Source organism: Homo sapiens, chromosome 8 (assembly GCF_000001405.40).
Source record: "Homo sapiens chromosome 8, GRCh38.p14 Primary Assembly".
Lineage (NCBI taxonomy): Eukaryota > Metazoa > Chordata > Mammalia > Primates > Hominidae > Homo > Homo sapiens.
In genome coordinates, this window is record NC_000008.11 from 122,789,997 (window position 1) to 122,811,606 (window position 21,610).

General features: G+C 47.5%; 1 protein-coding gene across 18 annotated transcripts in view, besides 9 other annotated features; it reads left to right on the forward strand.

Annotated features, from left to right (window-relative positions):
• The window catches only part of ZHX2 (zinc fingers and homeoboxes 2), a 194,132-nt gene that overhangs the window by 9,618 nt on the left and 162,904 nt on the right, over positions 1-21,610 (forward strand). For 3 of the 18 annotated variants that reach the window (NM_001412808.1, XM_047421590.1, NM_001412810.1), the window contains exons 2-3: positions 17,725-17,842; positions 18,747-18,805. The exons of the other annotated variants lie outside the window; for them this stretch is intronic. The gene's annotated coding sequence lies outside the window, so the exon portion shown is untranslated. The remainder of the gene's footprint in view (positions 1-17,724; positions 17,843-18,746; positions 18,806-21,610) is intronic. 18 annotated transcript variants of the gene reach the window in all.
• Positions 4,935-5,054: an enhancer, noted in NCBI's record as "active region_27856". NCBI's record gives its function as "activates an Ori minimal core promoter by ATAC-STARR-seq in GM12878 lymphoblastoid cells {active_cell/tissue: GM12878}" and the evidence as "EXISTENCE:reporter gene assay evidence [ECO:0000049][PMID:35858748]".
• Positions 5,175-5,274: a silencer, noted in NCBI's record as "silent region_19489". NCBI's record gives its function as "represses an Ori minimal core promoter by ATAC-STARR-seq in GM12878 lymphoblastoid cells {active_cell/tissue: GM12878}" and the evidence as "EXISTENCE:reporter gene assay evidence [ECO:0000049][PMID:35858748]".
• Positions 5,365-5,484: an enhancer, noted in NCBI's record as "active region_27857". NCBI's record gives its function as "activates an Ori minimal core promoter by ATAC-STARR-seq in GM12878 lymphoblastoid cells {active_cell/tissue: GM12878}" and the evidence as "EXISTENCE:reporter gene assay evidence [ECO:0000049][PMID:35858748]".
• Positions 7,165-8,364: an enhancer, noted in NCBI's record as "BRD4-independent group 4 enhancer chr8:123809400-123810599 (GRCh37/hg19 assembly coordinates)". NCBI's record gives its function as "activates an origin of replication core promoter dependent on BRD2, P300/CBP, MED14 and CDK7 cofactors, and independent of BRD4, by STARR-seq in HCT116 cells {active_cell/tissue: HCT116}" and the evidence as "EXISTENCE:reporter gene assay evidence [ECO:0000049][PMID:35650434]".
• Positions 7,245-7,334: an enhancer, noted in NCBI's record as "active region_27858". NCBI's record gives its function as "activates an Ori minimal core promoter by ATAC-STARR-seq in GM12878 lymphoblastoid cells {active_cell/tissue: GM12878}" and the evidence as "EXISTENCE:reporter gene assay evidence [ECO:0000049][PMID:35858748]".
• Positions 10,794-10,943: a silencer, noted in NCBI's record as "silent region_19490". NCBI's record gives its function as "represses an Ori minimal core promoter by ATAC-STARR-seq in GM12878 lymphoblastoid cells {active_cell/tissue: GM12878}" and the evidence as "EXISTENCE:reporter gene assay evidence [ECO:0000049][PMID:35858748]".
• Positions 11,998-12,957: an enhancer, noted in NCBI's record as "H3K4me1 hESC enhancer chr8:123814233-123815192 (GRCh37/hg19 assembly coordinates)". NCBI's record gives its function as "activates a minimal SCP1, AML or CMV promoter by ChIP-STARR-seq in primed H9 embryonic stem cells {active_cell/tissue: H9 hESC(primed)}" and the evidence as "EXISTENCE:reporter gene assay evidence [ECO:0000049][PMID:30033119]".
• Positions 12,958-13,915: an enhancer, noted in NCBI's record as "H3K4me1 hESC enhancer chr8:123815193-123816150 (GRCh37/hg19 assembly coordinates)". NCBI's record gives its function as "activates a minimal SCP1, AML or CMV promoter by ChIP-STARR-seq in primed H9 embryonic stem cells {active_cell/tissue: H9 hESC(primed)}" and the evidence as "EXISTENCE:reporter gene assay evidence [ECO:0000049][PMID:30033119]".
• Positions 15,567-16,766: an enhancer, noted in NCBI's record as "P300/CBP strongly-dependent group 1 enhancer chr8:123817802-123819001 (GRCh37/hg19 assembly coordinates)". NCBI's record gives its function as "activates an origin of replication core promoter dependent on BRD2, BRD4, P300/CBP, MED14 and CDK7 cofactors, with strong dependence on P300/CBP, by STARR-seq in HCT116 cells {active_cell/tissue: HCT116}" and the evidence as "EXISTENCE:reporter gene assay evidence [ECO:0000049][PMID:35650434]".

Here is a 21,610-nt window from a genome sequence, read left to right on the forward strand (position 1 = left end):
GTTAATGGTAAACATTCCAAAGAACGGAGAACTTGCATTCGAGAGTGTGAACTTGGACAGTGCCTGACTTTGGCACTTTTAGAATAGGATTTATGGATTTCCTGGTACAGGATATATAATGTCCTCTGGAATCACTGAAAGAAGATTTTGAGAGGATGAGTCTAGTAGCAACATGGTACATTGGTAGGATCCAGGAATGCTCTAGCTGAAAAAAAATTTAGGGATCAAATAGCCCAGCTTGAGGAAACTGAGGCCCGGAAAGGTAAGATAATTGGCCCAAGGTTATACAGTCCTATGGCCATGTATTATTTTTCTTCTTCTCTACAGTCTAACTAAGGCCCTTTTGTTTCCTCGGCCAGCTAGCCAGCTCATCACAGCACCTTCCCTCCCCGCTTTGATTCCTCTTTCCAGTCAGCACTCACTGAGCACCTGCCAGAGGAAGAAAACAATACTCCTGCCTTCAGGAAGGTCATAGTCATTGGCACTTAGCTACAACATCTGCTGCCCATTGTCATGCTAGCCCTCACTGACATCACAGGCACAAATCTACATGCCTTTTGTGGGTGTGCTCGGACAATCCTAAGAGAGGTTGGGATTCTGTTTTGTTTTTTGTTGTTGTTGTTATTTTTGAGATGGAGTCTCACTCTGTTGCCCAGGCTGGAGTGCAATGGCGTGATCTCAGCTCATTGCAACCTCCGCCTCCTGGGTTCAAGCAATTCTCCTGCCTCAGTCTCCCGAGTAGCTGGGACTACAGGTGCACGCCACCATGCCTGGCTAATTTTTGTATTTTTAGTAGAGACGGGGTTTCACCATGTTGGCCAGGCTGGTCTCGAGCTCCTGACCTCAAGCGATCCTCCCATCTCAGCCTCACAAAGTGCTGGGATTACAGGCATGAGCCACCATGCCTATCCCGATGTTGTGATTCTGTTATCCCCATTTAACAGACAAGAAAGTACAAAGTGGGGAAGTCCTTTATCCAAGAATTCTGGAAGCCAGGCAGGCTTGTGCCACACTGATGTTCATCAAGCCTGGGCACATTTAACCCCTCCTGCCCTCCATGCACCTGTGGCTCCAGCAAAAGGGCTGTGGCCCCTCCTCCATGGATTAGAACCTGTGGCTGAGCCACAATCCAGCACGGAGGATAACAGCAAGGATGGGTGTGCATTCAGGGTCTTCCTCTGCCTACGGTCTTCCTCACCCACGATTTTCCCCAATTTATTGGATGCTCCAAATATCCTCACACCGTAGCCCATGTCATTTGCACAGCAACCCTACAGAGTAGATAATATGAAGGTCAGAGCCAGAACTCGACACAGATCTTTGGAATCCAAGACTTGAAGAGTTTCACCCACGTCAGGCTGGTGCCTGCAGCAGCCGCTGCAGCCCAAGTAGCTGATTGGGAGCCCTGCCTGGGCACGGGCAGGTCACTTAGAGACACAGGATCTCGGGTGACTGCCCACTTTAGTTCCCCAAAGTCCCCCTAAAAATAAAGGCACTTCAAGGGAATTTAGACAACCTTTAAGTCCTTTAAGTGAGCAACAGATACTTATCTGATCATAATAATAAGTGTGAAGATGATGTATAGGGGCCGGGTGCGGTGGCTCACGCCTGTAATCCTAGCACTTTGGGAGGCCGAGGCCGGTAGATCACCTGAGGTCAAGAGTTCAAGACCAGCCTGACCAATGTGGTGAAACCCCGTCTCTACCAAAAATACAAAAATTAGCTGGGCGTGGTGGCACATGCCTCTAATCCCAGCTACTTGGGAGGCTGAGGCAGGAGAATTGCTTGAACCTGGGAGGTGGAGGTTGCAATGAGCCGAGATCATGCCACTGCACTCCAGCCTGGGCAACAGAGTGAGACTCCATCTCATAAAAAAAAAAAAAAAGATGATGTATAGGATACTCTCAGGCATTGTGCAATGCTGTGCCATAGGTATTATCATTAGCCCTATTTTCTAAAATAGCATTATGGAGATATAACTTACATACCCAAGTGTCACCCACTTTAAGTGTACAATTTATTGACTTTTAGTGTATTTACAAAATTATGCAACCATTACCACAATGTGACTTTAGAACATTTTTATCACCCCAGAAAGAGATCCTGTGTACCCATTAGCAGTTACTCTCCATTCCCTTCTTCCACTCCCCGCCCACCTTAGCCCAAGCCCTACACAGCCACTAATCTACTTGCTGTCTCTGTAGGTTTGCCTTTTCTGCACATTTTATATAGGTGAAATCATACACCATGTGGTCTTTTGTCTGGCTTCTCTTCTTTCCCTTTTGAGGTTCATCCGCGTTGTAGCATGTATTAGTATTTTGTTTCCTTTTATATCCTGTTGTGTGGATATACCACATTTTGTTAGCCATTCATCAGTTGATAGACAATCGGGTTGTTTCTGCTTTATGGTGATTATGATGCTGCTGCTGTGAACATTCGTATACAAGTCTTTGTTTAGAGATGTGTTTTCATTTCTCTCGGGTAGATACCCAGGAGTGGAATTGCTGGGTTGTATAGTAACTCTATGTTTAACTTTTTGAGAAACTGCCAAACAGTTCCCCAAAGTGGATGCATCATTTTTATGTTCCCATCAGCAGAGTATGAGAGAGTTCTGATTTTGCTGCATCTCTGTCCACCCTTGGTATTGTCATTAGTCCCATTTTACAGGTGGGGGAACTGAGGCACAGAGAAGGGAGGGTCCCATGGCTAGGGAGGAGGAGCAAGACACACACACATGCCTGGTCATTGGACTACCCAGGGCCAGGACTAGAGGAAAGCAAATGAGGTACCCAGCGTGCAAAATTTAAGGTGACACCCACTCTCAGGTTCCTACAAGTGCAGGGTGGCACCCGAGAGTGTGTCCTTAAATTTTGCTTCCTGGGTACCTGATTCGCAGCGTACCTCACCCCGGTCCAGGCCCTGCCACCACCCAGCTCCTAGTGTATAGGGCACTGTGCTCACTGTTGTGGGGGTGAACACAGAGATGGCCATACCGCTGCCCCTTCCCTGGAGGTACTCAGTGTGGCTGGAGAACCCATGCATCTGCAGTCCCCACAGTTAGCCTGGCTGGACTTGCAGAGCCTGAATCGCTGCTCACAGGGTTGCTGTGAGAATTACAGGGGATCATACCTGTGAAGCATTTAGCACAGTGCCTGGCACCTAGGCATGCCCTAGAAGTTCTGGCTGGTGTCATGTTGTCATTGGCATATGTCTGACCTTACCTCCTGTGAGGATACCTCTAAGTCCCTATAGGTTGAGGGACAGCTATGAAAGGAGAGGCCATCACCCAGGGACCAGGAAGTGGCCTGGGATGAAGGAAACTGGACATCCAGGCCCTCTTCAGCCCCACTGATCCTGACCTGGGCATCATAAGTCCCAGCCACAGAGCCCAGCACTGGCTCCAGTTGAGCTTAGGGGTTCTTCTCTGGGCTGTAGACACTCCATGCCTGGCTCTGTTATCTCCAAAGCCAGAGTGCATTGCCGTGCTCCCCATACATGAGAAAACACCTGCTGGATGATACTTGGGGCAGCCATAGTGAGCCAAGTAGGGGCCCTATCATGGCCTTTTTTGTAACCAGCTTTGTCTGCTGGTCTTCAAGGGTTCAGTTCAGGGAAGGGAGCACTAACTGATCTGTCATAGGAGATTTGGGAAATCAATTTTGAGAATTCTAGATGAATAACAGATGTGTTGGTTACAAAAATGATAGAAATGATGAGAGCCTTCTTTCCAGTTTGGTCAAAGCCTACGTAGATTCCGCACATGGCTCAAATGGACTCACCCCTCTTAATCGCAGAAGCTTGGGGGGCCCTGCCTCTGGGAAAGACTGCTTGCTGGCAGGGCCATGGGACCAATGGCATCAGACCTCCTACTGCCACTCTCCCCAGCCCTGTGCACACACCATGTCTTGGCACCCACCTGCTGGCACACCCTGAGTGTGGGCCATCTGTGCTATAGGGTCCTCTGTTGGGAGATACCTTTTGTCTTATGCTATCCACCAGTCATCGTACATGTGGGTTGGTGCCATGATGAGTCCTTGAGTTTGCTGAACCTGGAGCTTTATGCTTTGATTCTCAGCTCTCTACCCCAACCCCCTGCCACCTGAGCACCTGAGTACCCAGCTTTCACTGGGTGGTTGCTCAATTAATAGTTGTTATATTGATACATAGAATTCAAGAAAAGAGAGTCTGGGTGTGTTGAAATAGGAGTGTGACTTCATGTTGGTCCTAACTGCACAAAAGTGAATGGAAACTCTTCCAGAGTTGACTTTTTTTTCCATCTTTTTTTTTTTTCTAACAAGAGGGAAGGAAGAAGTCTTATTGGAAGGAATACATGTTGTGTCATCTGTCACCAATCTCTCCCCTCCTCCATGCCACTGAGGTTCTAAAATACCAAATTTGTTCATGTTTCACTAACCGCCTAAAAACCTCTCCTGGTCACTGCTTTCCTAGGGGTCAGAAACCCAAATGCTTTCAAGAGCTTTGCAGGTAGCATAAAAGAGTGAAGGGGTCAAGGGTAGAATAGTAGGAAGCAGTGGGAGTGGGTCAGACTAGAGAGCATATCTCCAGTCTAAAGATATTTAGATTTTTTAATGGACTCTCCAGTCCACTACAGACTGCCAGTTGTAATTTCTGACCCATAGGATCAAGTCCAAATTCCTGACCCTGACATGGTGGCTCTTTGAGAGCTGAGCTCTACCCACCAGGCATGTTTTGCTCTAAAGCCTTCCACCTCTTCCACATACCCCACACTTCAGTCATATCAGACTGACCCCTGAACCCCAAATGCACTGTCCTCTCTCCCCTTTCATTCTTTCTCTTAAGAAAGACTCCTGTAGTTCCTTCTTCCCAGAAAGACTATCCCCAAGCTTAGCAAAACCTACTTTTTTCTACTCTGGAGATATTTGTTCTCTTCTCTAACAGGCCAGTGTACCATGGAAATAACCTGTTAGAAATCTAAGCTGGTGGATTTTGATCTGTTTGTACATCTGCATCCCTGAAATACTATGAGCCACTTCTCCACCCCAAGGGAAATCTTCCTGTTTGTCTCCGTGTTCCCAGCACCAGCACAGGGCTGGCCCACTTCATAGGCTCAAAATTAATGTCTGTGGAATGACTGGATGGTTATATGAATGAGGAAGTGGCTCTGTCACTACAGCCTATAGGAAGTTCTATGCTCCTGGGTTGGCACAGGTGCAGAATGAGTTGCTGCTCGCTGCTGCCCCTGGTGGCAGGTCATTGCCACAGCCTGGAAGGACTGTCACTGGACTATTTTGTAACAGGAAGCAGTCAAGGCAGTGTCTATCCCAGGCCAGCTTTGTCCCAAGTTCAGGTGCTTTTGGCCTATCTTGGCCAACCTGCCTGCCTCCCTGGCCTAGCCCTGCTCCCTTGTCTGGACATCTGGCCTCTGGGCGCAAGCTGGGTCCACTTCCTCCCTTGGGCCTGGCCTTATCCCTTGTTTCCTCTTGGGAGCACCATCTCCACCTTCCTTTGTGGCACATAGAGCAATATCACAACTGTCCTTGCAGGATCTTTCTGGTACTTCCAATAGTAAACTTTTTTTTTTTAATAGAGTCTGAACTTGAGATCAAATGCTATTTAATGGTGGTAGGAAGGCAGGATGTAAATGTGTTAAGTGTCAGCCATTGAACCAAGCATGTTGTATACTATACCTTGTTTTATATTATTTAATCCCAACTACCCCCATTGGTAGAAATTTTTATACTCATTTTACATATGAGGAAATTAAGGCTTCAAAGAAATTAACTTGCCTGAGTTACACAGTAAAAGGCAAGGCTGGGATTTGAAGCCAGGTCTGAGTGACATCTGATCCCATATACTTGCCCTGTCACAGTGCTGGACTGTTATGTAAAGGACATAAAGATTCTGTGTTAAGGCCAGGCGCGATGGCTCACGCCTGTAATCCCAGCACTTTGGGAGGCCGGAGGAGGCAGATCACCTGAGGTCAGGAGTTCGGGACCAGCGTGGCCAACATGATGAAACCCTGTCTCTACAAAAAATACAAAAATTAGCTGGGCATGGTGGCAGGCGCCTGTAATGCCAGCTACTTGGGAGGCTGAGGCAGGAGAATCGCTTGAACCCAGGAGGCAGAGGCTGCAGTGAGCTGAGATCATACCACTGCACTCCAGCCTGCACAATGGAGCGAGACTCCATCTCAAAAAAAAAAAAAAAAGATTAAATCCTTAGCAAGTAGGATATGTAGACACTGGCCCTGTCTTCCCCACTAGAGTTTAAGATTTTGCTTATGAGAGACCACACAACGGGAACTAGTAACAGCAGCATCTTTTACCTTTCCCTTTGGAGGCACGTCTTGTCACTAACACAGCCTCTCATCCTCAAGACACTGTCCTCTTGCAGTTTTGTCACCAGTGGGATGGTGGGATTATTAAGATTTACTTAGTGTGCTAAGTACTTACTTAGTACTTACTAAGATTTATCTTAGTGTGCCATCTTGTGTAATAGGAAAATGGGCTTGGGATTCCAGTCTGATATTTGTGTGTGCACATGCCCATGCTTAAGTAATAGAATAGCAGACCATTCTGTAACAACTGTGTGTAGGGGAGAAAATCTAGTTTCCTTTTTTTCCCTTTTTAGGTTCTTTGTGGAAACGCTGTCCTGAAAATAAAAGTCAGATTAACAGAAGACAAACAACCAAACGTTTATTAATGCGTGCTCTGCCCATCACATGGGAGAGGCCTTAGTTTAAAAGTATTTCTTTCTCAAGGTGGTGGCTTAGGGACCTTGCTTAAATAGTATTTTAACAAAGGGCCATAAATCCTATATAGTGACAAGACAAAGAAGAGAGCAGTTCCAGTCTTTGAAAAAGCGGGAAAATGTGGGAAGACAGTAAAATCTGTTCCCAGATTCCTCGGGTGCCTGCTGGTGCCTCCTTTGGTCTCCTAAGTCCGTGCTGTCTCCAGTAAGGAAAGATTTGTGTCCTCCCATCAGGCAGATGCAGGCCGGCCAGGGGGTTCCTTGGCATTGTCAATGTCTTTCACTTAACGATCCTCAATAGTTTGGAGAAAAGTATTTTGGTTTCCTTCAGGTGCAGGAAACCTCTGGGATAGGCATTGGATGAGATATGTGAGTAATCAGGTTAGGCTAAGCTATGATACAGTGACAGGTAAACCCCAATATCCCAGTGGCTTCATAAGGCAGAGTTTATTTCTTCCTTTCATGAAGTCCACTGAAGGACTACAGCTCTGTAAGGCAGCTTTCCTCCAAGCTGTGACTTGGGGATCCACGCTGCTAAAATTTTGTAGCCACTTCATTTGAAACAACTGGCTTTCAGGCTGCTGGAGGAGAGGAAGAGAAAAGGAAAGGGGTATGTACCCACTTTCTAAAGTTGCCACTTCTGCTCACACAACCTCGCAAAGCCGCAAGGAGCCTGGAGACTGTGGGGGAAGCACATGACCGTCGGGCCAGTAGTGCCTGTTTCTGCACAGAGAACCCTGGGCTGGCTGTGCTGCTTCAGCAAGCATTGTGCCTTTTCTCTTCCGCTCAGCAAGGCAACCAATTTCCCTTTTACCTTGAACAGGATTCCTGAATCCAGGCCGACAAAGTTTCGGGGCAAAGTCCAGACCTGAACAGAAGCTTCCTGACACTTAGTCAGCGCCGTCTTTGACGCTAAGGACCACGCTCAATTGTCCCTCCCAACAGGATGTGGAGGAGCAGTCCTGGACTCTGAACGGCCACCCAGACATTCAAAAAAAAAATTTCTTTTGCAGCCTATTTGCCTTTCTTACATTTTGTAGGATACCATTACAATTTGGTTTTACATTGAGCATCCAGTCTGGCGTAAAGAAAATTAACATTTAATGAGCCTCTAATTACTGCCAGCACTAATGATACTGAGCATAACAATAGTCACGCTAATGGCTGACAGTTACCAGGAGGGTTCAGCGTGCCAGGCCGATTCTCAGAACTGCACAGATTAATTAATCTGTATACTCCACCCAACTCCTCCGGGAGGGCGTCCCTGTTGTTCTCTTCCTCAGAGAGTCCTGATTATCTGTATGGAATAGAAAAGGAAACTGAGGCTCAGAGAGGTGAAGCAACGCAGCGAGGAAGGGGCAGAGCCAGACCGGTCTAGCTGATTCTAAACCCAGCACTGGAGGGTGGGAGTATGTTGGGGGATACAGAAAATGCCAGCTCTTGAAAGCTTTCTGGATATTCTGCTACGCCTATGCATTCGAGGAATATCAGAAGTGTTAGGGATGCTGGACACTTTGTTCATTCTTGCAGGAAATATTCGAGCCCCTACTATGTGTCAGGCACCATGCTGATCAGGAGGGACCCTACAGTGCTGAGGGAGAGAGTGGGTTCAGTTTAGACTTGTTTATTCTCCATTGAAGTTCCCTGATTTTTAAAAATATCATTTAAAGGTAGCTGCAGAATGTTGATCTCACATCCTGCCAGGGAATGGTGGTGCGTTGGAATTTTGGCTCTGAATACATTGCATGGGGCAGATGGACTCAGCTCAAAAAGTAAGGACCCGGCTGAGCACGGTGGCTCACACTTGTAATCTCAGCACTTTGGGAGGGTGAGGCCGACAGATCACTGGAGGTCAAGAGTTCAAGACCATCCTGGCCAAACTTGTCTCTACTAAAAATACAAAAATTAGCTGGGCGTGGTAGTATGCACCTCTAGTCCCAGCTACTCGGGAGGCTGTGGCAGGAGAATCACTTGAACCCAGGAGGCAGAGGTTGCAGTGAGTGGAGGTTGCAGTGAGCTGAGATGGTGCCACTGCACTCCAGCCTGGGGACAGAGCGAGAGCGAGACTGTCTCAAAAAAAAAAAAAAGAAAGAAAGAAAAGTAAGGACTCTCTTCAACCAACTGACCCTGTGATTAACCATCCAAGCATTTGTTAGTTACCAATTTTGCACTAGTTCCTGTGTTGAACAGTCAGCCAACCACTGTGAAAGCCAACATTTGAATCACCTAGTCCAATCCCCTGGGGCTTTATAAGAGAGGCAATGGAGGCCCTCTCTAGGCTGTGAATTGCCCAGGATTCCTCTGCTACTTTAAAATGTGCCCATGTTAAAGCTCGCTCCAGAACAACAAACCATACCCGTGACACAAACAGCACTGCCCCCTCCTTTACACTTACATGAAGGAGCGAGCATGACAGAATGTTTCACCACTCCCAGCCCTTTTGATCATAAGCCTCTTCTTTTGATCCTGATCACCACCTATGGTGTGCAGGGCAAGAGAGTCAGCCAAGCCTCATCTCCCCACGCAGCTGCAAGGTTTGAGGGAAGTGGGTTAGGCAGTGGCAGCTCTTTCCTCCGTCACAGAGAAAGAAAATGACACATACAAGATCAAATGCTAAGTAGCCATGGAACCTGGGCTAACACCCTTTGTTTTTGGCTTGTGCGCCACAATTTTTTTTTTTGTTTGTTTTTTAGTATTAGAATTTCATCCAAAGTTCTCTGACAAAGCTAATCATTCAAAATTGGTGAAATGAAAATGGGGGAGATAAGAATCCAGAGAAGTCGTCTATTAAATATCTTTTTGGTGAACTTCAACTTTCTTTTTTAGCTTATGTTTTAAATCTGGAATTTTGTTCCCAGAAAATAATACTGTGACTTGATTATCTCCATGGCATAGAGGACTTGGTTTTAGCTCTTAGCCTGCTGATAATCCATGGAGGAAGGCTGAGGGCTCAGCCTCTGTGACTGAGGAGCTCCTGGGCTAGGTGACCTGGCAGCATCCTGATGTCCAGGAAGCATCCTTTTTCCCCAGATTCTCGAGGAGAGTCCTGTCCACCTGACTCTCAGCCCTCAGCCTTTGCTTTGTAGGAGTAATGGGCATTTACATTTACATTTGCTTTTCTTTTCTTTTTCTTTTTGCTTTTCTTTTTTTTTGAGATGGAGTTTCACTCTTGTTGCCCAGGCTGGAGGGCAGTGGTGTGACCTTAGCTCACTGCAACCTCCACCTCCCAAACGATTCTCCTGCCTCAGCCTCCCGAGTAGCTGGGATTACAGGCATGTGCCACCACACCCGGCTGATTTTGTATTTTTAGTAGAGACTGGGTTTCACATGTTGGTCAGGCTGGTCTCAGACTCCTGACCTCAAGTGATCTGCCTGCCTCAGCCTCCCAAAGTGCTAGGATTATAGGCGTGAGCCACCGCGCCTGGCCTAAATTTATTTTTGAGAGAAGAAAATGCTTTTTGCTCCCTCCTAGCTCATCTGGTACAGCAGGAGTCAGCTTGTCCTGCAGTTCAGATGGTCTTGATGGCAGAAGACACCAGTCACCATTATGTCCCTTTCATCCCAGCCCGCATCCCATCCTGCCCTCTTCCCCTGTCCTGGGTTCACGTAGTAGCTATAGTCAGAGTAATGGTTGTCCCTAGTGTTTCTGCTGTGAGGCGCCCCGGCAAGGAAGCTGGTGCGGTGCCTGCAAACCCTGGCTTCTGCAAAGACTGGAAGGGAGTATCTGTGTCCTGGACAGCATAGTGGAGCCCCCGAGCTGTAGCGGCCACCCCTTGTGCAGAGTAGGTGCTCAATAAATATCTGTGGAATTTCTGAGCCAGGCAGTGTTGATGGACCCACAGTGACACTTATCCAGGATGCAAGCACTTAGAGACTTGGCACATTGGGAATTTGTCCTGGCAACTGATGAAACATCTTTGCAACATGTGTTATCAGTAACCCTAAATTCAGGTTAACAGTGAGTGCTTGATTTAATCATGAGAATAGCTGTGGTCACTGAAAAGCCATGTATTTTCCCAAGGCGGGGGGCAGAGAGAGAGAGAGAGAGAGAGGATGCAGAAGCAGAAGCTAAAGAACTGAGAACGTTTTTCCTCTTTCAAAACCATGTGGGGGAGCTTGCCTGAAAGAGTTGTCAAAACAGAACCTACAACTGGAGTTATGGCTTGTGTAGACAGGTGCGCGTGCACAAAAACATACAAACACACAGAGCCAAAACACAGCACAGCTCAAAAGTTAAATATTTGTTAGCCTTTTGCTTGACAGTGTATAGGTGTTTGTGTATAACTTTAACAGCATAAAAGGTGCATGAAAGCTGGTGATCAGTTTTGTAAGTTCCAAGTTGCAGATACTCAACTCTGCAAATCAAGGCTTTCAATGAGTGAAGAGGCTATACATTTTCTGTAGTGTTTGGCGGTTCAAAATAACAACCCATGAAAAAATTCGTAATTCTAGGTTCACAGAAAGAGACCATTTGTTGCTAATTACCTACTTCATTATAAGTATCTGTAATAAAATTCTCAGGGCATATTGGGCAAATTATCATTTTAATAAAATAATTACTTAAGTAAACATATTCCTGCAAATTTCCCATAATGACTCTTTCTGTGACATGGAGTTTCATAAGTTAGGACTTGACAACTGTCCTCACGAACAGGATTTTGACATGGGGCTTATATCTGAGGACCTTATAAACAGGGAGATGTTTTCCTTTCAGAAGATGAGTCAAGAGATTAAGGGGCCCGACACGGTGGCTTACATCTGTAATCTCAGCATTTTGGGAGGCCGAGGTGGAGGGACTGCTTGAGTGCCCAGCAGTTTGAGACTAGCCTGGGCAACATAGTGAAATGCCATCTCTACAAAAAAAAAAAAAAAAATTGCCAGGCTTGGTAGCACACACATATGGTCCCAGCTACTTGGGAGGCTGAGGTGGGAGGATCACTTGAGCCTGGGAGGTAAAGGCTGCAGTGAACCATGATTGCACCGCTGCAGCTCCAGCCCAGGCCACAGAGTGAGACCTCATCTCCAAAACAAAAAGAGATTAAAGAGGCAGAGACGTTTCGTAATATCCTCCCTTGCCCTAAACGCACATCTGGAGGAAGATGACTGCCAGTTCCGGACACTCTGGCTTTCTGTTTGGATGCGTTGACTTGGAACTTTTCTACGATTCTGGAATAAGTATGAGGCCTGAGAGAAATTCCATATGCAGACAGGGGTCAGGAGACCTGGGATCACCCTGCCCAGCCACCCACGGCTGCTGACTTTGGGTGGGTCATTTATCCCCTCTCTGGCCTCAGTTTCCCCACTTAGAAAGTGGAGGTGGCTGTACAGTTCCTGGAGTCATCTTTTTTCTTTTTTGACAGAGTCTGACTCTGTCATCCACGCTGGAGTGCAGTGGCACAATCTCAGCTCACTACAGCCTCCACCTCCCCGGTTCCAGCGATTTTCCTGCCTCAGCCTCCCGAGTAGCTGGGATTACAGGTGTGTACCACCACCCCAGCTAATTTTTATTTTTTTAATAGAAATGGGTTTTCACCATATTGGCCAAGCTGGTCTCGAACTCCTGGCCTCCAGTGATCCACCCACCTCGGCCTCCCAAAGTGCGGGGGTTAGAGGCGTGAGCCACCATGCCCGGCTTCAAGTCACTTTTCTTCTCAGCAGTCTGCAGCTGGGTTCACTCTGCCCATCCCCAGGTAGCAGGGTTCCTGCAGGTAAGACCTGTTGCTGTCAGAGGCCCGTGGCTGCCCTAGCTCCCTTGTATAGCCTGTTGATTCAGGCCTTTCTGGACCTTGTATGTAAGGACTTGCCTTTCCACCCAGATTGCCCCCACAGAACTGTCATGACGTTTCCGTGGAAAGCCCGCATGGTGTTGAGCAAGCAGGCTGCCTGCATGGCCCCTGCTAGTCCAAGCTAGGGGATACCAAGGCAGTGGGTCTGCAACTGATTTACAGGGAAGGTTCAGGAAAGGGAAAGAGAAAGGGGGCAGAGGAGCAGGGCAGGAGATGTGTTCTGGGTCCCAACGCCTGGCTGGTAAAGTGAATGGGTTGTGTCCGTCATGGGGGCAAGGCTGGCAGGGGGCTGCCCTTCCACGCTTCTCTGGGATACTGTGTTTATTTACTGCTCTGGGCATCCCTGTTTCTCTTGGGAAGTCACTTTTTCCAGGGCCAGAGGAGGCTGACAGGCTGTCACCCGAGAATGCTCCCCTGCATCCCACTGCCCCCACTCCCACCCCACCCCACCCCGCCCCCAGTTAGCGCTCTAGGGGACCAGCGGGCGGCAGCACGAGATGTCTTTGGAAATAAGGAAGAAGTGCCCCTACAGGTGGTGTTGGTGGCGTGGTCTGAGTGGTCAACCTGAATTGAAACTCCCTCCCCATCCCCTGTTCCTATTCTGAGCCTGGAACGAGGGTGGGGACTCAAGTGAAAGCAGCAAAGCAAACGCAGCCAGATTTCTCCCTCCCTCTCCCCACTCTACCCCTAAAAAACAGCCCCCACTGAGGTAGTAGTGGTGTGAGCCAGGCTTGGCAGTGTCACTATGTGGTGCCTTTTCGTTAAGGACCGTGATGGTGGCCCCGGCCCCGCCTCAGAGGTGCCACTCCCCGTTGCTCCTCCTGCAGGCTTTCACTGGTGGAGGCCATGTCTTGCCTCTTCGGTATCAGGTCTCCTGTCATCTCCACCAAGACGCCTTCTCTGAAGCACACCCTGCCCCATCTCTAGACCAGGATTACTCTATCTCAGCCCGTTCTGGCCTGGATCATTCTTTCGTGAAGGGCTGTCCTGTGCATCATAGGGTATTTGGCGGCATCCCTGGCCTCTGCCAACTCCATGCCAGCAGCACCTCTCCTCCAGCTGTGACAACCGAAACTGTCTCCAGATTTTGTCAAATGTGCCCTCGGGGACGAAACGGTCCCAATCTCCTCTTCCCCCATGGAGAACCCGTGGACTAAATCACACCCTCTGTTTTGCGTTCTTCACAGCCTTCTTCACTCTCTGAAATGGTCGTGTTTTTTTCTGTCTTGGTCCCAGTAGTGCTCCCCCTGGCAGCTCATTATCCTCACCTGAGCTTTTGAAACTCCCAATGCCCAGCCCCACCCCACATGATGAAATCAGAATCTCTGGAATATGGGTGCACATTAGAGATGTTTTCCCAGGTGAGCCTGCTGGGCGGCCTGTTTGAGACTCACTGCTGTCTCCCCACAGAGGAGAAGCCATTAGATGGAGGGCCAGGGCGGGCTTTGATCAGTACGTAGAATAGTGCCTGGTGCCTGGCAAGGACTCAGTACTATAAGATTCAATGAATGAACAAATACTGCAGAAAACCCATCATCACTGGTAGAAGTTTGTAGGGATTCTTTCATTTTTGTCATTTATTTGTCCATTTATTTATATATTTATTTATTTTTTGAGACAGAGGCTTGCTGTCACCCAGGCTGCAGTGCAGTGGCACCATCTCGGCTTGCTGCAACCTCCGCCTCCTGGGTTCAAGTGATTCTCCTGCCTCAGCCTCCCAAGCAGCTGGGACCACAGGCGTGCACCACTGTGCCTGGCTAATTTTTGTATTTTTAGTAGAAATGGGGTTTCACCTTGTTGGTTAGGCTGGTTTCCAACTCCTGGCCTCAAATGATCCACCCACCTCGGCATCCCAAAGTGCCCGGATTACAGACGTAAGCCACCACGCCCGGCCCCATTTATTCAGTCATTCATTCAACAAACATTCATTAAGTGCTTGGTAAATGCCTGGTGTGGTGCTGAATGCTGGGGAGGCAAGGATAAGGAAAACCTGGCTCCTATCTTCTGGGAGTCTCCAGTCTCCTGGGAGGCACATAGGCAGGTGCACAAGGTGGCCCATGTAGTGAAAGAATTGCTAGGCCGGAGGTATGCAAAAAGCAGCTAGGACATAGAATAAGCAGTGCCTGAAAAGACACAAGAAAGGAGCCCAGTGTCTCCCAGTGAGGTGTTTTACTTGCATTTTCACACTTGAACATCATCACAACCCTGCACCATTTCCCAGCTGAGGCAACTGAGGTTCTGGGAGGTCACCTAACTCCCTTGGGGTTACCTGCCCATCTGTAGCCCAGCCGGGACTCAAACCCAGGTCTGTCTCACTCAAAAGCCTGTTTTCTTTCCAACATACAATGCCGTGTCTGGAGCTGAAACTAGAACACAGGGCCATGGATTCCCTTGTGCACACAGCGGCCACTCTGTTGCCTGAATACGTGCATAGCATAAAACCAGCCCCAGCCATCCCCCAGCTGTAGACTCAGTGTGTGTTCCTGCCCCTGGAAGGTTACCTCTGAAGTCCCTTCATCTAAACTCTTTCATTCTGTGACACTAAGAATCAGGCTGTCTTAGTTTGGGTCCCCCAGATGCACACCCCAAGGCAAAGCTTCAAGTGCAAATAGTTTATGTGAGAAGCAAAGGAAGCGCTGGGTGGGGGTGGGGGTGGGGCAGCAAGTGGGACCTGGAGAGAAGGAAGCCAGGAAATAGAGCATTGTCAAGCAGGTGGGGAGCTCTGGGTGCCAGCACAAATCACACGCCTCAGTGCTGTTCCACCTGAGTATTGAGACGGGCATGGAACCTATCCACCAACTCCCATCAGTCACTGGCCATGGGCTGCTCCCTGAAGGGGCGTCATTCTCCCATACTTCAGGCCTGGCATGTAGGGAACAAAGTGGCCACTCGAAATCTGAGTGACCCCCCACCCCAGCAAGGAAACACAGGTACCGACAGTTAGAAGTAAGGCCAATGTGCACTGAGGTGGGAAGAACAGGGGGACATGGGCCAGCCCCACAGCATCTACTACGGACTCAAAGGAACACCTCATGAAGATCTTTCTTTTTTAAAAGTCGTCAGTCCCACTTATGGAGCACCTGTTGTATACAAGCTCCATGCCAGGTTTAAAAGTTCAAAATGAAACATAAGAGCTTCTGTCCTAATAGAGCTGGCTGTCGTGGGTAGATTGCCAGAGCAGCCCTGTATAGGCATCATCTCTACAAACATTGACATCGAAATTTCTAAGTTGTGTCTCCTCAGCCCAGCAGTTGTGGCTCCTCATCACTAGGACCCAGACTCAACTCTGTCATTACTCCTCCCTGTCCCCTGCCTCGAGTTCTCTGCTCTGGGATTTTTGAACTGCTTGTAGGTCCTGGAAAAAAAAGTCCTTCTCTCTTTCCCTCTTCCCTCTAAACCTTTGCATATTCCAGTTCCTCTACCTTGTTGCCAGAATAGTGCCCCATCTTTCTTGAGTCTGGTTAATATCACCTCCTCTGGGAAGCCTTCTCTAACTCCCATTCTCATCACTAGTTCCCAGGTGAGCTTGGCCTTTGCACAGTTTCCTGTTCTTATTCCTATCAGATTAATCATCACGCACACACATGACTATAATTGCCTTTTTACTTACCTGCAAGCTTTCAGGAAATCAAGGATGAATGAGTCACTTTCGATGGCATTAAAGTAAGGCCTGGGAATGAAAGCTCAGCCTGAATCTGAAACTCAGCTTAACTACTTCCTAATTGTGGGGCTTAGGTTGAACTGTGTGCCTCAGTTTTTCTATCTGTAGAAATGGACCCAATAAGACTTCCTTTACAGGGGCATTTGTGGAGTTTCTTGGCCCCTACCCAATAGAGCCACTAGAAAAGCAAGAAGAAACCTGAGAGCTGAGAAAGTCATCACAAGTTTTATAATCCAGAAAAGGGATGCATCTGCCCGGGTCAGTTTGTATGCATTACAGAAAACTCATGAACGCTGCCCAGAACACGGTGTGTGCAGGCACCAGAGTTAGGGTCGTAGCAAAGAGATGGTACACACAGAGTAGCAAGGACTGAGTAAATGGAGGGCCTGATTACAGAGAAGAGTACAGGGTTAAGCAAAGCCAACAACGGAAAGGGAAGCACCGGGCTCACAACAGCTGAAAGTCCGACCTCCCCTAGGCCTTAAGGTCAAGACGAAGGGTGGCCATTGGAACTCAAGTGAGGTGTAGTTGTAGGAGAGTGACTGTCCCATTTGACACTGAAGAATAGTCATTTTACATGGCTGACATTTACCTTGTGCCAATTATGGCCAGGCATTGTTCTAAGCATGGTAACCCACATCACCCTCATTTATGGAGTAAAACTGTTTGCCCCATTTCACAGATGGGAAGCCTGAGGCACAGAAAGATTAAGTAATTTTCTCTAGGTCTGATGATAGGGGAAGGGGAGTGGGGATAGATAACCAGACCTCCCATCCTTAGACCCTCTGATCTCATGCCAGTTCGTCCCACTGGTAGAGCTCACTGGTAGAGGGTGGAGGGCGAGGATGTGCACTCAGACAGTCCACAGTGTGGAGAAGGGTGGACAGTGGAAGGGGCCCTTGGTGAGTGGGAGCTGCTATTTTTGCTGCAGCTGCTGCTGCTGTTGTCGTTGTTGGATCATCGAAGCCTGGGACAATGCCTGGCTCCTACTGGGCAGGCGCAGGTATTTTCCAATTGAATGAATGAACCATTGACCTATTAACCACAAATTATATCAACATCACTTGGGCCCTGAATAATGTATTTATTGAAAAATGAAATTGAAAATATTATCCTTTTAAGCTTCTGGTAATGGAGGAAATGGTTCATTCCTAACAGTTTTAATAATATTACATATTTGTTGACTCAGGGAACTCTTTTTGACATTTATTCAGGATTTCCAGACTGCATGGGAAGAAAAGCAAAAACAGTGTCATCAGCGTTACAGGTAGAAATAGAAAAATAGAGTTTTCCTTTCAAATTGAAGTGTTAGGCACTTGGAAATAGCCTTTTACTTTAGATGGAGAATTTAACACTCTGCCTGCGACCCACCTAACCAGGGATTTGTGGAAAACACGTGTTATGCCCTGAGCACTGGGTCAGGAGTGAGACTGTGGTGGGTGGTGAGCAAAGGGCTTAGGACTGACCAAGGGTGTTGGAGGCCAGGCTGGCCGCATACAAATCAGGAATAGGAACTGACGCTTACTGTGTGCTTTTATGTGCCAGGCCTTCTCCTGAGATATGTAACCACCTTCTCGGGTGGATACTGCCATTAGACCCATTTTGCAGATAAGCAAACCGAGGCACTGGGAGAAGAAGTAATTTGCTCAAGGCCACCCAGGTGGTAAGTGGAAGACCCCTAACTCTAGACACTGTCTCTTAACTGCTGTGCTTACTCCCTCTTTATTAGAGAATGGTAGAGGTGAGATCTCAGCTTTACCCCTTTTATTTTACAAATGAGGCTCAGAGAGAGATATTGCAACTTGTCCAAGGTCACCCAGCCTTGTTATTGGGAGAGTTCAAATGGCCTTAGTGCCTGCTTCTAACTCTGAACCATCCCGTCACCTTGGGCAGGTCACTTACCTTTTTTCAGTTTATCTCCTCATATATAAGATGGGGCTAATAATTACGCCTTTAAATACTTTTAAGAGATTAGTGATCATTTCAGTCTTGACTCCACTTAGATGTGAGCACCAGATTTATATATATGTATGCCTCAGGTCAACTTCAGGGTTTTAAACAACAGCAATACTAGTGTCTTAGCCCATTCTCATGCTGCTAATAAAGACATATCCAAGACTGGGTAATTTATAAAGGAAAGAGGTTTAATTGACTCACAGTTTAGCATGGCTTGGGAGGCCTCAGGAAACGTACAATCATGGGTGGAAGGGGAAGCAAACACATCCTTCTTCACATGATGGCAGGAAGAAGTGCCAAGCAAAAGGGGGAAAAGCCCCTTATAAAACCATCAGATCTCATGAGAATTCACTCATTATCACTAGAATAGCAGCATGGGGGTAACCGCTCCCATGATTCAGTTACCTCCCACCAGGTCCCTCCCGTGATGTGGGAATTATGGAAACTACAATTCAAGTTGAGATTTGGGTGGGGACACAGTCAAACCATATCAAATAGTAAGTAATAATAGCATATAGAGCACTGGCTGTGGTCAGGAGCGTTCAAAGCACAATGGTTAACCCATGTAATTCATTATTTATAATCCATAATTCTCACCACACTCCTTCCAGATTTACAGCTGAGGAATCCATTACAGAGAGGAGAGTGACCTGTCAGATTACCAAAAATAGTAAGTGAATGCCCTTACCAAGATTTGAACCTGACTAGTTTGAGTTGGAGCTCCAAAGCGCTAGCTAGACAATTAACAAATATTGTCAATGTTGTTTCATTTTGTGCTGCATGCAGTTTTTCTCCAGTAATAGCTATAGTCACAAAACAAAGGGAGACTCATTTTTTTATAAAAGCTGAAGCTGGAAGGGATTGGTCTTTTTTGCAACCTCCTAACAGAGATGGTGATAAATGCCATCAGTTCCATCTAACAGGAAGAGAGACCAGAAGCTGTGAGGTTCTTGGAAAGGAATGGAAGGGCCCGGGAGACTCAGCCCCTGAAGTGATGTTGGCAGTTACATCATAACAGAGAGATGGGAGATGTCTGCAGTGGCTGGAGAAGGACAAACCTGAAGACACTAGAAAGAGGAGTTGGGTCCAGGTACAGTGGCTCATGCCTGTAATCCCAGCACTTTGGGAGGCCGAGGTGGGTGGATCACGTGAGGACAGGAGTTCAAGACCAGCCTGGCCAAAATGGCAAAATGCCATCTCTACTAAAAATACAAAAAAATTAGCCAGGCGTGGTGGTAGGCGCCTGTAATCCCAGCTACTGGGGAGGCTGAGGCAGGAGAGTCGCTTGAACCTGGGAGGCGGAGGTTGCAGTGAGCTGAGGTTGCACCACTGCACTCCAGCCTGGGCAACAGAGTGAAACTCCATCTCAAAAGAACAAAAAAAAAGAGAGAAAGGAAAAAAAAAGAAAGAGGAATTGGAAACTAACCTCACAGGGGAAAGAAAACTCACTTCTGCATAATCCCACGCTGGTATTTAGTTATGCCCACTGTGAGTGCTTTTAGACAACAAGCAACCGAGAAACCAATGTGCCTGAGGGGACCCGAACCACACCCTTGCCCCACTTGTCACGCGTGGGGCCTGAAGTGTAAGAGCAGGACCTCGACAGAGGCAGAAGTGAGTTCGAATCATGGCTTTGCCCCATGCCAGCTATGTGACGTTAGGCCACTCTGCTGCCATTTCTTCATCTGTAAAGGGAGATTATCATTGTATCTATATCATTCAAATTGTTTGAAGCTTACAAGAAATCCTGTAGTTAGAGAGGTCTCTATGAGTTTTCAGAAGGAGTTAGAAAAGGGTGACTCTGGGGATTGGGTAGGGGGGGTGGAGGGCTACTTTTCATTAGAAGATGATGGTTTTCATTATAAGCCCCTATAGTGCTTGATTTCTTGACCATGGGCATGTATCTGTCTGCTAAAAATATATATATATTTTTAAAGCCTCTTAAGAAATCATGTAAATCCAGCATTGTGCACAATGTTTGGCAAAGAGTAAGAGCTTAATAAATGGCATAAATGAAGACCTAAGTGCCAGCCCTAGAGGCCGTCCAGTGTGCAGGCTTAAGAACTGGCACAGCCACTTATGAGCTGCAGTGACACATAAATGCCCTTCATCTCTATAAACGTCAGTTTCCTTTTCTGTAAAATGGGGGGTAGTAACACCTGCTTCCTTGGCTTGTTTTGAGTATTAAATGCAACAATGTAGGGAGAATGCTTGGCCCAGTACCTGAGATCTTGTACACATTCAGCAAGTGGTCACTATCATTTCACTGTGGTCAGAGATAACGTGAAGCTGGGAACAATAGTGAACATGTTGGATGATAGATACAGCTTCCTGAAAGATCTCAGCAGACAAGAAGAATGGAGCAAATGCAGCAATTCAGAGAACAGCATCAAGTCCCACATGAGCAGGAAACGCGGCCCTGAGGTGTCACGTCCTGCGTGGGTGAGTCTCTGTGGACGGCAGGTCCTGGAAGGGCCAGCAGTGAGGGGCAGGATGTGTATACATTTTTTATTAACAGCATCGGTAGCAGAATGGTGTCCAGCCAGTAGCAGCTCCTCTCCCCTGGTGTCACAAACCTCACTGCAGAGTCGTGCCCATCAAAATGGGCACTCCAAGGAGTGTTGTATGTGAAATGGAATATCCACAGACTAGCATGTCTTTTTTTTTTTTATTATTATACTTTAAGTTTTAGGGTACGTGTGCACATTGTGCAGGTTAGTTACATATGTATACATGTGCCATGCTGGTGCGCTGCACCCACTAGACTAGCATGTCAAAAGGGAGTGGCTGGGATTATAGACAACCTGGACCCAGGGTACCGAAAGTTTTACTTTTTAAAATTGGGAATGTTTGATGTTAGAGTTTTAGGGGTCAGTAAATGGCAGAGCCCTGTTACCTGACCAGGTTCAGAATCAGTGGAGACAGACAGAGATGTTGAACAGGTGGAAATCAAAATATCCACTTTGGGCTGAGTGCAGTGGCTTATACCTGTAATCCCGGCACTTTGGGAGGCTGAGGTGGGTGGATTGCCTGAGCTCAGGAGTTCGAGACCAGCCTGGGCAACATGGCGAAACCCTATCACTACAAAAAAATACAAAAATAGCTGGGCGTAGTGGCACATGGCCTGTGGTCCCAGCTACTAGGGAGGCTGAGGTGGGAAAATTGCGTGAGCCCAGGAGGTCGAGGCTGCAGTGAGCTGAGACTGCACCACTGCACTCCAGCCTGGGTGACAGAGCGAGACCCTGTCTCAAAAAATAATAAAATAAAATAAAATATCTACTTTGTTACTGATAGAACCAGACTAGAGAATATGATGCAGGTTCACTGGCTTTATGGTCTTTCTAATGCTCCCTGCCCTGCATCCACGCCATGGAAGAACCAGACAAGGGGAACTGGGAGCCTGGAAACCAGACACACTTACCCAGGGCCAAGGCCACTGCCGCCCTCTGATAGGGGCAGACAGAACAGAAAGAGA